This window comes from Homo sapiens, chromosome 2 (assembly GCF_000001405.40).
Source record: "Homo sapiens chromosome 2, GRCh38.p14 Primary Assembly".
Lineage (NCBI taxonomy): Eukaryota > Metazoa > Chordata > Mammalia > Primates > Hominidae > Homo > Homo sapiens.
The window spans coordinates 23,579,994-23,597,982 of record NC_000002.12 but is presented as its reverse complement, the minus strand read 5'-3'; the positions used below and the strand labels follow the sequence as shown (position 1 = coordinate 23,597,982).

Below are 17,989 nucleotides of genomic sequence, written 5' to 3'. Positions count from 1 at the left end.
AGGGGGCCTTACTCCTGGCACCAGCTCCAGAGGCATCCTGTGCATCTCTCCCACTGAGATGGAGGAGTGAGGGGGACCAGCCCAGAGGCCATGAACGGGCAGGGTTGCGGAAAGACCACAGGTCGGGGATGGGGACCAGGAAGATGCATCTTCTCTGCAGAAGAACCTACAAGAGCTCCCCATCTCCTTCCCTAGACTGAGAGCATGTCAGGGCTAGAAGGAACCTTACAGAGCCTCATTTTAGAGACGGGTGAACAGGGCCGGGCACGGTGGCTCATGCCTGTAATCCCAGCACTTTGGGAGGCCAAGGCGGGCAGATCACTTGAGGCCAGGAGTTCAAAACCAGTCTGGCCGACACGGTGAAACCCCGTCTCTACTAAAGATACAAAAGTTAGCTAAGCATGGTGGCACAATGCCTATAATCCCAGCTACTTGTGAGGCTGAGGCAGGAGAATCACTTGAACCTGGGAGGCAGAGGTTGCAGTGAGCCAAGATTGTGCCACTGCACTCCAGCCTGGGTGACAGAGCGAGACTCTGTCTCAGAAAAAAAAAAAAAAAAAAAAAAAAAAAAAAAATATATATATATATATATATATATACACACACACACATATATATATACATACACATATACATACACACACACACACACACACACACACACACACACACATATATATATATATGAGAGAGAGAGAGATAGATTGAGAGCGAGATGGGTGAACAGACACGTAGCAAGTTTGCAACCTGGCCCAGAGGAAACAATGCCCTCATCAGACTCTTCCCAGAGATGTGACCTCAATCTCTCTACCTATTATATTGGAAAAATGATAAGCAAATGCCTGCCTAATTGTACCTTTTTAAAAGACAGTCTTCCCTGAACACTTATAAAATATGTGGGCCTGGGTTTCAGAGAGAGCTTGTCCCCCAAAAGCAGAGCCCTCTATATAAAGCAGCAAGCGATCCAGCTCTGAAAAGTATTTTGCTTCTCTTTTCAGTGGGAAGAGACTTCACCATTAGCTCTATTTGATTCTAAACGCAGCCCTGAGCTTTCCTGTATCCCCAGGCACCTATCTGGCTGGGACCACTCCAGAAGTAGCACTTACATGAGTGCCATGAGTAAGAAGGAGGAAAATCTGAAAAATGGGTAAAGTATGTACCAGGAATCCCTTATTTATTTATGTCCTCCTGGGGGAACCTGTTTCTGAGATGAAGAAAATAATTTCGCCGTTGTGTGTAAGAGATGGCTCTGCCCCAGCATCGGAGTCTTCCTATCGCCCTCATTTAGAGGGAGATGCTTGCAGGATAGGGGTTAAAGGCGTGCTAAAGAGGCACATTCCCACGATGGCAGCATACGTCCCCAGACATGATGTGTTCCCGCCAGCACAATCTCATCTTCCATTATGGAGAAGGATGACTCAGCGTGAGGTCTATTTTCTGTTTAGACTTAAGCCACGTTGTGTGCAAGGACAGTGTGGCATGGCCCCTGATAAATCACAGCGAGCCTCCTAGTGACTCTGTTCTGCTCCAACGTGAGTGCGCTTATGAAACGGGTTCCTTCCTCTCCCCTGGGATGCAGCCACCAGGACACCAAGACCTCTGCTCGGAGACAGAGACTCATAGGGGCGTGTTGGTAGCTGAAGCCTGGAGGAGAACTCAAGAAAACCCTTGCAAAATGAGGTGGGCATGATTTAAATCCACTACATTTTTAATCTGCCAACAACCCTAAGGGATAGGGCTGCAGCTGCCTGGCAGGGTCAAAGCAGATGGCAGCAGGGTACAAGGCTGTTGCCCTGCCCCGCCCCCGGCCTGCCCGTCCGGCTGGCTGCCGAGGGTGCTCTATTGTATGCGGCTCAGTTCAAACCACCAACAGACCCAGCTTCTCCATGGCAACCCCAAGCAGGCCGTGCATTCCAGAGGCTATGCTGGCAGCAAATGTGGACCCAATGCCACAAAACGGTGTCCTCCTGACAAACCACGGGGAGTGTGAAAACCTTCTGGAATGCTTCTGAGGAAGAAGCCCGCCCAGGACTAGCTGGGGATGGGATGGGGATGCAGGAGAGTGATTTACAGACAGGGAGTCATGGTGTCTGGAAGGGGCATGCTGCTTGCGTGGGGAGCTCACAATTCACTGGCCTAGCAGCCACCCTGGGAGAGCTGGGATCCTGGTGGAGAGACAGCATGGGAAGGGATGGAGGAGGACCTGCAGAGGGCAGTCTGCAAGATTTGGTGGCTCCAGGGTGTCCAGATGGAGTCCCCTGGCTGTGTGTTGGGGACACTGCCTCCTAGGAGGTCACGTCCTCTGCCCCCCAAGTGACCAGGACACTGCTCCCCTCTACTTGCACCCACACAGTCACACCACAGCCTGGCAGTGCCCGCTGCCTGCCACCCTTCCTGCCCACTCCTTCTCTGCGTCCATCTCTCATCCTTCTACTGCTGACTGTACCTCTGCCAGTGTCCAGCCCCAGGCCTGTGCAGAGACATCTGCCCACCTTCCCAAGCCTTGGCACAGAGAGGGCAGGTAGGAGAACAAAGGGCTATGCCTTGGGTCAGGAATATCAGCATTTGAACCTGTCACTTGGGTTTGAGTGATCTTGGGCAAGTTAGTTAACATGCTGGGACCTCAGTTCCCTTCTCTGTAAAACAGAGACAAAAATGCTGGCTTTGGTAGGGTTTTGTGGGAGAAACGGGATAGGATTATAATACATGGAAAGGCAAATGACGTTGCAGGAAAGAAGGGTTCCTTCCCCTCTCCTTTCCACACCCCACAGCCACTTCCCACACCCCACAGCCCCTTCCCTTCCCAGGCCCTCTGCGGGTGCCTCTTTCTGGGCGCCTGCAACAGAGAACCAAAGTTAGGAAAAGTGATCCTCCAGAAATGGACAGAGAAGTCCACCAGGATATTCCAAACACTCCGTCTCTGTTGTGGTAAACGATGACTTTAATTTACAAAGCACACGAATACTAAATCTTCATGAAATTAAAAACTATATTATTTATGTGAGCGGAAACGGAAAATGGTCTGTAGCTAGCAGCTATCCTGCTTTGTAGGAGGAACACTAAAATAATTAAAACCACTCGTGCTTCAGTAATAAATAATGATAATAAATAAATGTCCTGACCTTAAGCAAAAATATAAAATTAAAACCCATTTGGTATGTAAATTCATTCAGGACACTAGTGTGTCTCCCAGCCCAAGATGATGTAGAATGGGAGCAGCATTCACTACATGAATTTTGAAAGGAAAAGTCAAAGAACAACAGAGTTGTGTGTGCATTGACTCATTATTCTACTTTAATTCCATCTAATGCTTTGTGGAGCCTGGAGGCTGGGACATTAATTTCCTGCTTTTTCTGTTTCACCAATTCCTCATGGAGACCAGGAGAAAGAATTTCAATCCTGGAGGCTGAAATCAGGGGACAGAGAAAACGGCAGGAGAGATGGAGAATTGAAATGCAGGAAGGCCATTTTTAATGTGTTTACAGAAACACGGTGAAAAGAAGTCAGCGAAGAAGGGCACTGGTGTTGGCCGGGGGTGAGCTCCTGAGTGTCTGGGATTAGAACAATCCAGGAGGAACGAAATGTCCCTGGTCTTGGGTCCAGGTGGGAGCCATTCCAGAGCCCGGAGGAGCCGGGCAGGAAGTCTGCGGGCGCCTCAGACTTCAGGAAAACGCGAATTGGTTCCAGATGGTGACACCTCCACCTCTGAGTGCCCGGCTTTACCATGAAATCGCTGCATGTTCCATGAAGCCAGCGACTCCCCGGAGCACTCCCAAATAAGGCCGGTCTGGTAAACAAGGCAACGCGCCAGGCAGAGAAAACAGAACCTTCCCACCTCTGCTGTATAATCAACTCCTCGACACCCCTGTCATTAAATCCCCTCCTCCAAGGGCTGCCACACCCAGCCTTTCATTTCAGTCTCATAACTACCTTGTGAAGTGGACGAGGAAGAGATGGTTATTCCTGTTTGATAGGCAGGGAAACTGAGGCACAAGGGCTCACAGAGAAGACATGGCAGGGAAATGATCAGACCCTTCTCCCAGGCCCGGGCTCTGTGTAATCAGGGAGGGAGGGGCCCTGAAGGAAAAGCTTGTGGACAACAAGCACGTAGGCGACACGCCTGGCCACAGGGTGCCCTGGCCCTCCCACCTCTTATGTGTAAAATGAGGGTCCTCCCTTAGAATTCACTGCCTTGGAGCTGTGCAGGCTGAGATATCTAAACTGTAAGGGCAGCCCCTGGGAGGGCTTTCCGAGGTGAAGACACTGCATTTCACAGCTGGGTTTTAGGTGTCAAGGCACAGTAGATGGGAGCAGGCTCCCTGGACCACCCTGGTCCTGACCCCACGTTCCCCGAGGGGTCTGACGTCCTTCCATCACTTCTCCTCCGCACCACTGCCCCAAAGGAGTGGTGAGAGGAACCACCCCACAGGAAAGGGAGACCCATACACATTCTGCTGTCCAAGGGGACCCAGAAGCACCAGCACCAAACAGATGCACTGAATAGATGCATCTGTTAGACACATAGGCCTGGAGACCGGGCTTGGGGAGAGTAAAAGGGCTGTGCAGCTATTCACCGCAGGCCCTGTTTTCACCCCTCTTGTATGACCACCCCCACTCTTCCACACAGAAAAGAATGTGAAAAATCCAACCCAAACCTTCCAGTGTCTGAATGCTCCCAAGCATCCACAGGGTTAGTAAATAAAACATTGGGATCAGTGACTGATTTTCTTCATTTTTGAGCCTCAGGATCACATTAGAAGTCCTGGACAGTCAACAAGCCACCAGAGGAGGCACGCTGGTGACAAAGATGTTCTTTCTCCAGCCTGCTTGACAACCTCCAGCCCAAGGACTCCCGGGAGCTGGGGTGGCCCCCTTCCCAAAGGACATCTCTAGTCTACTTCAACTTATCTAGGACCTCAATATCCCCACCCGCTCCTGCTTGCTAATTTCTGCATGACTCCACGGTGGACACAAACCACAGCACTCGAGCAGAGAACAATGAAGCCCTGAGAAGACCAGTGGGGTAGCTGGGAAAAGTCTTAAAGACCTACAAAACCAAATGGTGGAAATCTCTCAAGAGAGGCTTTTGGGTCAAGTGTAAAGTTCCTGGACCAACGTGCCTGCAGGGAGGGGACACCAGCTTACCTGCAGAAGGTCACCGGGACTTCCATTCCCCTTTGGGGGCCAGGAGATGGTCTGTTTGCTTCAACAGATTCATAAAGAATCTTGTCCTCTTGGCTGTCCCTGAGAAGGAGCAAGGTCATTGCAAGCTCTTGGTTCTTCCCTCTCTTTTGGGCAGATAAGCCACATCCCTGTCAGGTCTACTATGGAAAGAGGATGGATTCTTGCTTTGCACTAAAAATTCCATGCGACCCCAAAGCAGGGCTGACTTCAGAGGAGACCCAGGCTGCAGCCAGCCTGGCAGGGCCTGCACACATCTCTGTGCTCCTGGAGAGGCCCCCGGCCTGCGGCCATGTGGACCCTGAGCCTCTCTCTGGGCAGCTCAACTGCTAGGTCCCTGCTTGGCTCCCAGGTCAGAATGTTCCCGAGCAGCTGCCCCAGGACACAAATAACAGCTCCAGGAAGCAGAGCTCAGAGACAGCAGGGCTCAGCCTCTAGGACTCCTGGGTCTTAGGGTCAGAGTGGCCTGGAGCTTTGGGTGGGCAACCAGGGGCTCAGGATGGGAATCGGCACCCCTGGGACTAATGGGGCCCTGGAGCCGGGGTCACCAGCCTGATGGCCGGGCTTCTGACGTGCTCCTGTGCCCCTGGCTGGCTCCCTTTGTGAATGCCACTGCTGCTGCAGGCCAGCTGGGGCCACCAACCACTGATGAGGATGGGCCCCTCCAGAGGGTCTCTAATTTCCACAGCAGTGAGTGGGTGCAGCCCGCTTCCAGTAGGTGCTCAAGAAAAGCCCATCATTCACTCATTCAACAAACATTTGCTGAAAACCTTCCGTGCTCCAAGTCACGGCAGATGCCTGTTTGGCAGTCCTAAGGGGAGCTGCTCTGAGGCTAAACGGGCTTGGCAAGAAAGACTTCAGGAAAGAGATGGTTAGGACCAGGTTTCTGGAGATAAAGGAAGAGGAAGGAGTGAGGGCAGAAGCTGAAACGAGCAGCATGAGAATGTGCACCGCTCCCAGGGGGGCTGCCCTGAGGGGCGGGTGGGTGTGGGCAGCAGATGAGGTTGGAACGCGACGAGGAAGGCGAGTTCTATCTTGATTGTGGATGGGGGTCTCTGGAGGGTAGAGAGGGCAGGCTGGAGGGACAGGATGGAGTGCTGGAGACCCATGGGAGGTTTTACAGCAGTCCAGAGGAGACCGGGCGAGGACCTTGGCCAGCACGGTGGCCGAGCAGACGCAGTGACAGGATGGACAGTGGAGAGGTTTAACAACAGAATGGACAGACCTAGAGTAGTCACTGGCTGTGGGGGGTAAGGAGCAGGAGGAGTCAGGGACATGCGGATGGGAACATGGGGGTTGGGATGGGGGCTCCACATCAGGAAACCCAGGGGGAGGCTGAGATGTGAAGAGTCACGTGGGGGAAGAAGTGAGTCTGAAGTGCTGTGGACGCCCAAGGCTCTGCCCAGGAAGCAGCTGTCATGTGGCTCAGGAGCACAGAGAGGGCTGGCCTGGGACGGGACAGGACACAGGAGCCTGCGGACTGTGTCCTGGCTCTTTCCTTGTCCTGTTTAGTCTGCAGGGCAGCCGGAGAGATACAGCTAAATTGCCCCAAGGGCACCGGCCTCTTGTCTGTTCCTCACCCCTCCCTCAGGGCCGTTGCTCCTTTTCACCCCTGGCCTCAACATGCTTGTCCAGATACCCACATGGCTGCCCCTCACCTTGCCAGGTCTTTGCTCAGAGTCCCCTGAGTGTGCTGTTTAAAGTCGCAGCGCTCCCCACCTTCCGGCCTGGCGCTCTCGGACTTCTTTTCCTGCTTTATTTCTCAGACTTCTTTTCCTGCTTTATTTCTCAGGGGGGTCGTTGGGCCATCTGAGATTTCCTGACTTATTTTGTCATCGGCTTTCACCCATTAGCATGTGAGCTCCCAGCGGCAGGGACGTCTGTGGCGATCAGGGCCTCTCACTTCAGCACAGGCACACGGTAGATCCTAAATAAACACTTATCTATGGAGTGAATGAATGCATGGATGTGGGCCTCTGGCTGCCATCGCTGCTGAATAAACGACCACTTGATCTGCTGCTGACTCACGGCGCACTCTCCCTGCCTTGCTTGGGTCCTGGGCCATGTAGGGGATTGGGTTCCAGAAGGGGAGCTAGGGACCCTGGTTCTAGGTGGCCTGGACTTCAGAAGCTGCCCCTGAAGTTCGGGGATGGATCCGCAGCCTCTGTGTGTGGGTGGGGATTTTAGCATGCACTGGGCCATGCTCAGGACCTCGCACAGGTCTGGAGGGGAACCAGGGCCTCGGCATGGCGTCTGTGGCCTGAAAGGAATAAATCCATCCTTGCTTCAAAGGCTCCCAGAGTGTTCAGGTCTTCCACGTCAACCCACATACTTTGGCAGGGGCAGATGCAAAAACAAAACCTACAGGAAACAATCTGGGGAGAGCAGGAGGTGGAGCGTGAAATGGACAAAACATATAGGTCTGAGCTGGAACAAACAGCAGGGAGAAGGACCTGCCCGACCGAGGGCCTTCGAGAAAACCAGAAGCTAGAACTCTGCTTGGGCAGAGGCAAAAAAACTTCAGAATGTGTGCTTCTTTCAAAGCTGCATCCCTCCCTGGTCCCAGGGCAGAGAGAGTATCAGAGGAATACAACAGAAGAAAAGCGGGCAAGGGGCAGGAGCGGGCTTGGGGCCAGGAAGCCCAGCCATGCAGTTGGCTCTTCCATAGATGCTGTGTGACCTTGAACGTCTCCCTTCCCTCTCTAGGCCTCTGCTTTTGTCTGTAAAGTGAGGTGTCTGAACACTGGGCCTTCCAGCACAGCTGGCTGCTCCATTTCCTGGTCTTTAGGCAGCCTCCCTTTGGAAGGGCTGGCTGGGCTCTCCCAGGATGCCAGCTGCATGCCTTTGCAAGTTATCACAATATGGCAGGACCCAGAATAGACGTTGACAGTTGTTCAGTGCACAGCTTGTACAGCTGTACATGGCAGCCTCACCTGCCCTGTGCTTACAGAACTAGCACCCCCTTTAAAGGTCACTGAGTCCCAAATTTGGGAAGGCTCCTGAGAGAATTGTTCTGAGTAACCAGAGTGCTGGATTTAGCTTCTGGACCATGTAACATCCAGATGGCTGCTGAGTTGGACTGTTTGCTCAACTCAGATTTTCCTCTGAGGCAGAGAGGAAAAGCCTACTTCTCTGCAGGTCCCAAATGGGCTTTCTGTCTGCTGACCCTTGTGTTCTAGCCAACAGGGGTGGCAGGAGATCTTCTCTGGGGTCCTGGGGCCAAGGCCGCTCAACTTGGCTCCCACTGAAAAGGCAACCTGCAAATGACTTTGCCACGTTTCACATCTCCACAGCAGTGTGGAGTGGAGCTAAACCGAGGTGGGTGGGTGGCGGGATTCCGGGATAACCCTGGTCCCCAAGGCCACAGCTCCAAGGGTGCCCCACAGGCCCAGGGCCGCCTCCACCTGGACACACCCAGGCCGCCCTATTAATAGACCAGCTGCCAGCGCACTGCCTTCTTCGGAGTTTCCATTTCATGTGCTCTAGATCTGGCTGTCCCAGTGGGGACAGCTTCCTTGCAAAACAAACAGCAAAATCAATATTTCCTTCACCAGGGGAAGTGTAGGCAGGCCAGGCCTTTCTCCATTCCTGCAGGCAAGGCACAAGCCCAGGAACGGGGCGCAAAGGCCGCCTGGCTCATTTCTGCCTCAATTCAGCCATTTGATTATATTAAATTCACAGACATTTATTGAGCAACTTCAACATATCAAACCCCAGTGGGCGGGTGGAGAGAAGAATGAATAAGACGCATCCTGGGGCTCGAGGAACACACGTGTAACCAGGAGACAAACACATAAACCAAGAGCTATGGTGTGACGCGTGAGTGAGGCAGTGAGGATGTGGCCGGGAGGCCCGGTGTCTGAAATCATCAATCTTTGGGTACGGCTGGTGTCTGAGAGTGTGGAGATTGCCTCCTGGTGCCTCTCTCTCGGCAGGCTTAACCGGAGAGCTCTGGGTGAGACTTGTCTTCCGGGGGCTGGTGGGTGCTCCAAGCCAGGCCCGGCACAATTTCACTCTGCCTCTTCTCTGTGGCCTCCAGTCCACCTGCCGGTACAGCCTAGAACAACCCTGGCCTCAAATCTCAGTGCATAAAAAGTCCCGAGGGAGATTGTTAAAAATGCAAATATAGGCCACAGCCCTAGAGACTCAGAATCAATAAACTTTGGTTAGGGGAGAGGCAATGTCTGGGAATCTGCCTGTTCTATAAGCAGGAGGCCTCAGACCACAGTCTAAGAAGCACCACACTGGATCTGGGCTCCTTGGGGCAGGGGCCAGGGAGAGAAGCCCAGAGGTACCACTGCTGTGGTGTGGAGAAAACCCCATGGAAGGGAAACAGACTTGCCTGTGGCTGAAGCATGTGTCTCCAGGGCCCAGGCGGGCAAGGGGAGGCCTGGGAGGCTGAAGGTGGGTGGGGAGCAGCCCTCGGAGCTCTGACTTAGCTGCTGTTGAGAGTGGGCAACCTGAAACTGGTGAGGGGTGCTGAGGCCTGCTCCCAAGTGGGCAGGTGCACCTTCCCACTGGGCCAAGGGAGAGTCCTGGCCATACCAACTCAGCCTCTCTCCTGGGGCCCACTCGATGTTCAGCTTCATGCCGGGCTGGGTGGCAGGGAGGCCAGGAGGAGGAGCAGGCACTGGCACCACCCCAGGGGTGTGTGCAGGGTTGTCAGGCTACTCACAGGGCAGGGGCAAGCCCAAAGTGCATGGCGGGGACCAGGTCATCCAGAATTGTCAGAGGTTACAGAGAAGGATGAGGGAGGTGAGGGCCGTGGATGGGATCTGAGGACAGCAGAGGGCAGGTGAGAGGACTTTTTAGAAATAAACGCGACAGATGAACAGGCTGGAAGACACATGAGAAAAATTGTTACAACGAGGCCAGCACACAAGGCCATTCCTTCCCTAGCCTCTAAATTATTAGTCCATAACAATAAAACACTTTCCCTGCCCATGCGTCAGGATTCTTGGAGGAGCAAGAATGAGAAGGACCACACGGACTTTAGACCCCAGACACGGAACCGCTTAGCAGGCATGTTTTAGGATAATAAAGGAATCTAATGGAGAAGTGGTGCTTCCTTCCCCCAGAGCTCCGATTAGGCTCTGGAATATGGGTGACACGTACGCCGTGGAGGACACAGCGCAGTTAGAATTCTGCCAGCAAACATTCTCAAATATTCATGAAACATGGGACCAGGCCTGACTGTTAACACTGCAACTGGTTCCCTCCAATGGAGTGACAAATGGGCGCCAAGCACTGTCATCTGTCCCTTTGATCTTTCCAGCTCCTGCCAGGCAGTGGAGGGGGGACTCGGGTAGCCCGGGGGAGGCTGGGCTCTCCTGGTGGCTTATATTTCCATGTACGAGGGCTTGAGAACAGCAAATTTCCTCTGACTCTAAGGCAAAATCATTGATTCTCCAAGTCTTACTCCATCAAAAGTGATTAGTGGGGGGCCCTGAGGATTCCACTCCACCACGCTCACCTCCTTTATGAAAGGAGCATTGTTATATACACAAATATCAACGAACAGCACCGGCAAAAAGCAAAATGTCCAAAAAAAAAAAAGTAAATTGGCCTTTGGAAGAAAATAAGGAGGAAAAGAATAAAATGAACTCCTGGCTTCCTTGGTTAAGAGCGTCTTCAGAGCTTCTCGACACGCTGAGAGGGAACCACAGTGCAAAATTGCTGCAATTTAACAGGGCGTCTAATTAAAAGGAGCGACATGAAAGGCCTGTTCTTCCTACTCTGGGTTTGCTTCTTTCTGTGCAGGGATCAAAAGTATGACAACTCTGGGACAAAGAGTTATATCCCCCAACAATAAGACGGAGCACATCAGCTACTGAATGACTGGTTTTTATATCCTTCCGGCCAACAAATGTCGCTGAGGCTTGCGAGATACTCCCTGCTGTTTTAGGAGCTGGGGTCACAGAGAGGAATCAGACACTGGCAGTGCCCGTGGGGGGAAGAGAGCATTTAGACAACTAACTACAATGCGGCGTGTGCTAAGGGAGAGGGGCAGGCAGCCCTCTCGAGGCTGAGGGGCACCAAGGAGGGGCTAAGCTCAAGCACAAGGGCTTCTCCCTCCCCAACATCAGCTAAATGGACGTTTCCTGAGGTCATCCCCCGATCCTTACTTTAAAAAGTAACGCTGGCCGGGCGCGGTGGCTCATGCCTGTAATCCCAGCACTTTGGGAGGCCCAGGTGGACGGATCACCTGAGGTCAGGAGTTCAAGACCAGCTTGGCCAACATGGTGAAACCCCATCTCTACTAAAAAATACAAAAATTAGCCGGGCATGGTGGCAGGTGCCTGTAATCCCAGCTACTTGGGAGGCTGAGGCAGAAGGATTGCTTGAACCCAGGACATGGAGGTTGCAGTGAGCTGAGACCACGCTATTGCACTCCAGCCTGGACAAGAGTCCGTCTCAAAAAAAAAAAAAAAAAAAAAAAGTAATGCTTTTAGGTAGAAGGAATGGGGGGGAGGCTGCTCTTAATGGGTATGGGGATTCCTTTTGGGGTGATAAAGACATTCTGGAACTAGATAGTGGTGATGGTCCCACAGCCTTAGGAATGTACAAAACACCCCTGAATTGTACACTTTAAAATGGCAAATTTTATTTTATGTATCGCTTACCACAATTTTTTTTAAGTAGCATTTTCTGAGGTCACACTCCATTTAAGCTCTGCTTACTTCAAGGGTTCTGCAACAATTCCTGACACAGGGCTGAGAGGTGTCCCTAGATAGTTAAGCCTCCCCAGAGGCCTTCTGTGTGCTCTCGTTCTGCATAGTCCTGGCTCCAGGCTAGGCTTAAACATTGGGAATGAAAAAAGCCCATCAGCCACATCCCAGCCAACCCTTCCAAAGGCCACCAGAACTGCTCCCAACAGCATATCCTCCTGAGCTTCGCCTGGTCTAATTTTAAACTCTCCCCGGTGGTAGAGCAAATAAAGTGCTTCTCCTTCTCTGGAGCAGAGTCTGCTATTGCTTGGAAGTTCGTTTCTGGGAGGGCGGCTGGTGGGCTTGGCACTGTTTCCTTCCTATCACCCCTTGGAGCCTCCGACACCGCCCTCCTGCTTCTAGTTACATATGGGTCCCCTCCCCTTGGTGAGGGAGTTCACCAAGCCAAAAATCTGGGCAGGCTGGCAGGGGTGGGCATGGTGGTGGGGAGCCTGGGGGGCAGAAAGGGAGGAGGTGGAAATAGATCTTTCCTAGGATTTGGCAGAGACCCAAAACCAGATCCTTCCCTTGGATTTGAACTTAGCCACCCAGCAATGAACTCATCATCTGAGCCTCCCCTCTTCTCGTGACTGTGCAAATGTTTAGCTTCACCTTCATGCAGCCGGCAGTCCATCTGTTAACACGCTGGCCAGAACAGGGCCTGGTGGCACAGAACTGACCCAGGAGTAGGTATAATCCTCTCTTCTAAATGTGCTTAATACCATTGATAATCTTGTCACATAAATCTCCCGGTTAGCAGTGAGCTGCAGCTATCACCGCTAGACTCCAAGAATCTTTCAGTAACGGATTCCACCTCCTGTAATCCATCTCCTTTCTTATACCGATTTCAGCTGCCATGTTGCCGAGCACGTGGGAGTACTGCCCTAACCTTTACAGGTGTGGTTTCTTGGCGAGCAGTCACTTGCAGATTAGGCCGACAGAGCCTGTTCATTCAGCCCACTCGGGTGTGTACCCAATCTGACAGCCGTTTCCTGCTCTTGGGGTCTGGTACTACGGTCTGTGTCTTCTGCATAATCTCCTTATTTTAAAGACTGAGTAGGCTGGCGGTGGTGGTTCATGCCTGTAATCCCAGCACTTTGGGAGGCCAAGGTGGGTGGATCACCTGAGTCAGGAGCTCGAGACCAGCCTAGCCAACATGGCGAAACCCCTTCTCCACTAAAAATACAAAAATTAGCTGGGCATGGTGGCAGGCGCCTGTAATCCCAGCTACTCAGGAGGCTGAGGCAGGAGAACCGCTTGAACCTGGGAGGCGGAAGTTGCAGTGAGCTGAAATCGTGTTATTGCACTCCGGCCTGGGCAACATAGCAAGACTCTGTCTCAAAACAAGAAATAATAATAAATAAAATAAAATAAAGGCTGAGTAAAACTTCCTAGACAAAGTGCTGGGCCTCTTGACTTCCTCTGTCCCTCATGGGCACCGCCCCCCTCCGCCCCAGCCTCTGTGCCCAGAGTAAGTCTAGGCACTTTCTCCAGCACTGCCAGTTTGGGATTACAATGTCGCCAAAGGCTTGGAGGGACGTGATGAGCTCAGGCTGTTGCCATGTTCCTCCAAAGAAATTAAACTCAAGTTATTAAATCACTTCCAAGACGTAAATTACGAGCATGAACACCGCTGGGCAGAGCCAATACTTTCCAAATTTGGATCCTCCCTAGTCCCAGAGTTTCTGCCATTCTAATCCCCAGAGGGCGAAGCTGGGAGGAGGGTGCCTGTTTCCAGGAGCAGGGTACGCAGCTCTGCCCCCAGTCCCTGGGCGGTTAAGGAATAAATATCCTTTGAGCAGCACCGCCGCCTGCCCCGGTATGGGCTCTGGGCACCAGCAACAGCTGGGTAAACAGTGGGCTGCCATCTAATTTCATACCCAGGCCCAGGGGAGCAGCTGGAGAAAAACACGGCACAGACCTGGGAGGCCGGCTGGAGCCTGCCTGGGGATCGCTCATCTTCTAAAATAGGCCCATAAGCCTCGGCTGACATTTGGGTATAGTTTCCTCCAGGCAGGTGGGTTTGTGGAGCCCTTCTGTCTCTAGAAGGCCCACCGTGGATCACTGGAACCAGTTCCTTCCTGGAATTCTATAAAATGACCTGCTGGCAATAACACAGTCAAAGCACAGTCTTTAACGGGAAGGAGTGTCCGAGTCCATGAATCTGCCCACTTTTTCTCCTTTCAATTACAACAAGATAAAGAGGAGCAGAGATGGCAGCAAAGAGAATTTTCTTCTGAATTAAAGTCTGTGAGAAGAGGGGAGTGGTTGGGGCTTGGAGCTTTTATTTGGCTTATGTGGTTTTTTGATTTAAAGAATTTCCCTGATGCTCTCTGAGTCTGATCAAGAGCTTTCTGTGAGGGTTATAACCAGTACAGCACGTCTGTTTCCATTTTCTTACTCCAGCTACGTAAGAGTCCCAATGTCGGCTCCCTTTAAATGGAGGCCACATCGAGTGTCTGATCCTACTCACAAGTCTGCCCCTCCTTGGAGACACCACTGCACGTAAATGACGCACCCAGCTCCTTCCCTTCTGAGAGGGACATGGGAGTACTAGAGCTTCTCGCTTTAATCGCCCTTTGAAACTTTTCCAAATTGGAGTCCATATGTTATAGGAAGCAGGCAGGTGATCATTAGGAAGCTTGTAGAAACATTTTTCGACACCAAGGAAGAAGGTGTGATGGTGTTTCATTTCAACTCAGCAGAGACGAGGTCAGCAGGTCAGCCTGCTGCTCCTGGATTAAACTCACAGCATCAAGAGCATGTTTTGCAAAAATCCAGTCCCACGCGGATGGACCTTCTTGAAGGAGATGCTAGGAAGAGACCCTTCCATGGGGTGTCCATGGGGTATCATTTTTCTGGGGCTGCGGCAACAAACGACCACACAGTGGGTGGCTTACAGGACAGAAAGGTCCCTTCTCACAGTTTGGGAGGTCCGAAGTCTGAAGTGAAGCTGTCAGCAGGGCCACACCCCCTCTGGATGCTCCAGGGGAGGGTCCTTTGCCTCTTCCAGTTCTGGTGGCTCCAGGCATTCCTTGCTTTATGGTGGCATCATTCATCTCTGCTCCGTCTTCACGTGGCCTTCTCTGTGTTGTCAAATCTCCTTCTCTGTTCTCTTGTAAAAACACTCGTCATTGGATTTAGGGCCCACCCCAATCTAGATGGTCTCATCTTGAGCCTTACTTTAGTTACCTCTGCAAAGACCCTATTTCCAAACAAGGTCACGTTTAGATATTCTGGGTGGACATATATTTGGCTGGGGGGTGGGGTACTATTTAACCTACTACATGGGGAGTGCCCTGAAAGTAAAATTCTGCTTTCTCATCAGTTTGAATGTTTTCAAGAAGAGATGGGTTCCTTTGGAAGTGGCCCACCTTACCACCCTGAAATATAGCTTAAATCCCTACCTGGATGGGATGGGGAGTGGAACTGGGAAATTGTAGCAAGTTCACAGGTGAGCCAAGAACAGGGTTGGAACACAAAGCCTAGGCAACCCAGTTGTCTCTTCAGCCTATAAACCAGATGACTGGCATCTTGTGAAGTTCCTGGAGGGGCAGGACAATCTCAGGAGGCTGAGAAAGCAACTGCCAAGCCCCCGGGACCCCTGACACCAGGACCCTGAGTCATAGGGGTCCCCGGATCTTCTCACCATCCCCATCCTCCACCCCCACTTCTGGCTCAGTGTTGGCATTCAGAAATGTTAAATAACAATAATAATAATAATACATCTGAGTGTGACGCTTTAATAGCCAATCTGTCATTTTCCTACTTTATTTCTGAGATTTTAAGAATGGAGCCCTTCCTGCACAAAACATCAGGGTGCATTTATATTAAAAAATGAAACTAATTAAAATGTTTGAAAACCATAAAGCACACCACCATAAAACAGCAGCAGCCCTATTTTTCCATTCGAGAAAGATTTTTCTTCTTCATTTTGTGGCCTGCCCTGATGAGAAAACTATTGGCGCTGGGAGTCACTGGAGGCGTGAGGCTGATAGGAGCTGTTTTGCCCCTGAGCACTGCCTTTGCTCCTAGACCCTGGCGTGGTATCTGAGGCCACAAAGCTGGAGCAGCCAGAGGGTTGGACTCAGATGGAGAAGGCTGGAGGACAAACTACCCTCAAGGTAATCAGAAAGCAACCCACTTGATGAGTGGTTGTGTTGTGGGAGAGTTTTTCAAAGGTGGAGCTTAGAAGGTGAACACCAGCACTTAAAAACGGCACAATGAACCCTGAACCTCAAATAAAAGTTTTTTTTTTTTTTTTTTGAGGCAGAGTTTCATTCTTGTTGCCCAGGCTGGAGTGCAATGGTGTGGTCTTGGCTCACTGCAACCTCCACCTCCCGGGTTCAAGCGATTCTCCTGCCTCAGCCTCCCAAGTAGCTGGGATTACAGGTACGCACTACCACGCCCGGCTACTTTTTTTGTATTTTTAGTAGAGATGGGGTTTCACCATGTTGGCCAGGCTGGTCTTGAACTCCTGACCTCAAGTGATCCGCCCACCTCGGCCTCCCAAAGTGCTGGGATTATAGGCGTGAGCCACTGCCTCCAGCCTAAAAGTTTTTAAAAAGCCCCAGCACAATGCAGTACCAGGTGTGCGTGGCCACAGTGGAAGGCGGATCAGGAGTCACCGCCTGGGACTCAGCGCACACTCCATCGCAAGTGGAGTCATTGACATTAGGGAAGCTGCCTTCCCAGAGGTTCATCCTCAACCAGCTGAGCCATAGAACCTCCTAAGTTAACAAAGCATGAGTATTTGTTGAATGAATACATGAAAGAGAATCCATGTGATGTTCAAAACGGTGGGAAGGAAGACCGGGTGGGGAGTGGGGACTGGAAAGGAGGACCAATCATATACATGGAGATGCTCAAGTGTACTCAAGCCATGCCACGGTGCAAGGGGTGTCTGACTTCCTCAGAAGAACATGGAGAAACCAGAAGATGTCATTGTTTAAATGCTACACTCCTTATTTTCTCGGATGTGAGTCTATTTCTTTAAAAAAAAAATAAGCCTCCAGGAATTTATTCTTAAGACAGAATTTGTATTTCACTATGATCACCAGCATTTATTGGGCACTTACTGTTTGCTTAGAATGGGCTAGATTTTATTTTTAATTTTTTGAGACACAGTCTTGCTGTGTCACCAGGCTGGAGTGCAGTGGCGTGATCTCGGCTCACTGCAACCTCCTCCTCCTGGGTTCAAGCAATCCTGTTGCCTCAGCCTCCTGAGTAGCTAGGACTACAGGCGCCTGCCACCACGCTAAGCTAATTTTTTGTATTCTTAGTAGAGACAAGGTTTCACCATGTTGGCCAGGATGGTCTTGATCTCTTGACCTTGTGATCCACCTGCCTCGGCCTCCTAAAGCACTGGGATTACAGGTGTGAGCCACCGCGCCTGGCCTAATGGGCTAGATTTTTTTTATGAGACGGAGTCTCACTCTGTCACCCAGGCTGGAGTGCAGTGGCGTGATCTCGGCTCACTGCAACCTCCTCCTCCTGGGTTCAAGCAATCCTGTTGCCTCAGCCTCCTGAGTAGCTAGGACTACAGGCGCCTGCCACCACGCTAAGCTAATTTTTTGTATTCTTAGTAGAGACAAGGTTTCACCATGTTGGCCAGGATGGTCTTGATCTCTTGACCTTGTGATCCACCTGCCTCGGCCTCCTAAAGCACTGGGATTACAGGTGTGAGCCACCGCGCCTGGCCTAATGGGCTAGATCTTTTTTATGAGACAGAGTCTCACTCTGTCACCCAGGCTGGAGTGCAGTGGCGTGATCTCGGCTCACTGCAAGCTCTGCCTCCTGGGTTCACGCCATTCTCCTGCCTCAGCCTCCAGAGTAGCTGGGACTACAGGCGCCTGCCACCATGCCCGGCTAGCTTTTTTTGTATTTTTAGTAGAGACAGGGTTTCACCATGTTAGCCAGGATGGTCTTGATCTCCTGACCTCGTGATCGGCCCGCCTCAGCTTCCCAAAGTGCTGGGATTACAGGCGTGAGCCACCGCGCCCGGCCTGGTCTAGATTTTTTACGTGGAATTTCTTTTAAGGCAGTACTGTTGTTATCTCCATTTTATAGATGAGGAAAAAGAGGCCACACAATGGTTAAGC

General features: G+C 51.6%; 1 protein-coding gene across 2 annotated transcripts in view, besides 1 other annotated feature; it reads right to left on the bottom strand.

The window, feature by feature from the left end:
* Positions 1 to 17,989, bottom strand: part of KLHL29 (kelch like family member 29) — a 323,428-nt gene that overhangs the window by 110,624 nt on the left and 194,815 nt on the right. The gene's annotated exons all lie outside the window — the stretch shown is intronic.
* Positions 15,443 to 15,586: a silencer, noted in NCBI's record as "fragment chr2:23805267-23805410 (GRCh37/hg19 assembly coordinates)". NCBI's record gives its function as "represses an EF-1alpha promoter that drives an FKBP-Casp9 reporter gene in an ReSE screen in phorbol 12-myristate 13-acetate-treated (for megakaryocytic differentiation) K562 erythroleukemia cells {active_cell/tissue: K562(+PMA)}" and the evidence as "EXISTENCE:reporter gene assay evidence [ECO:0000049][PMID:32094911]".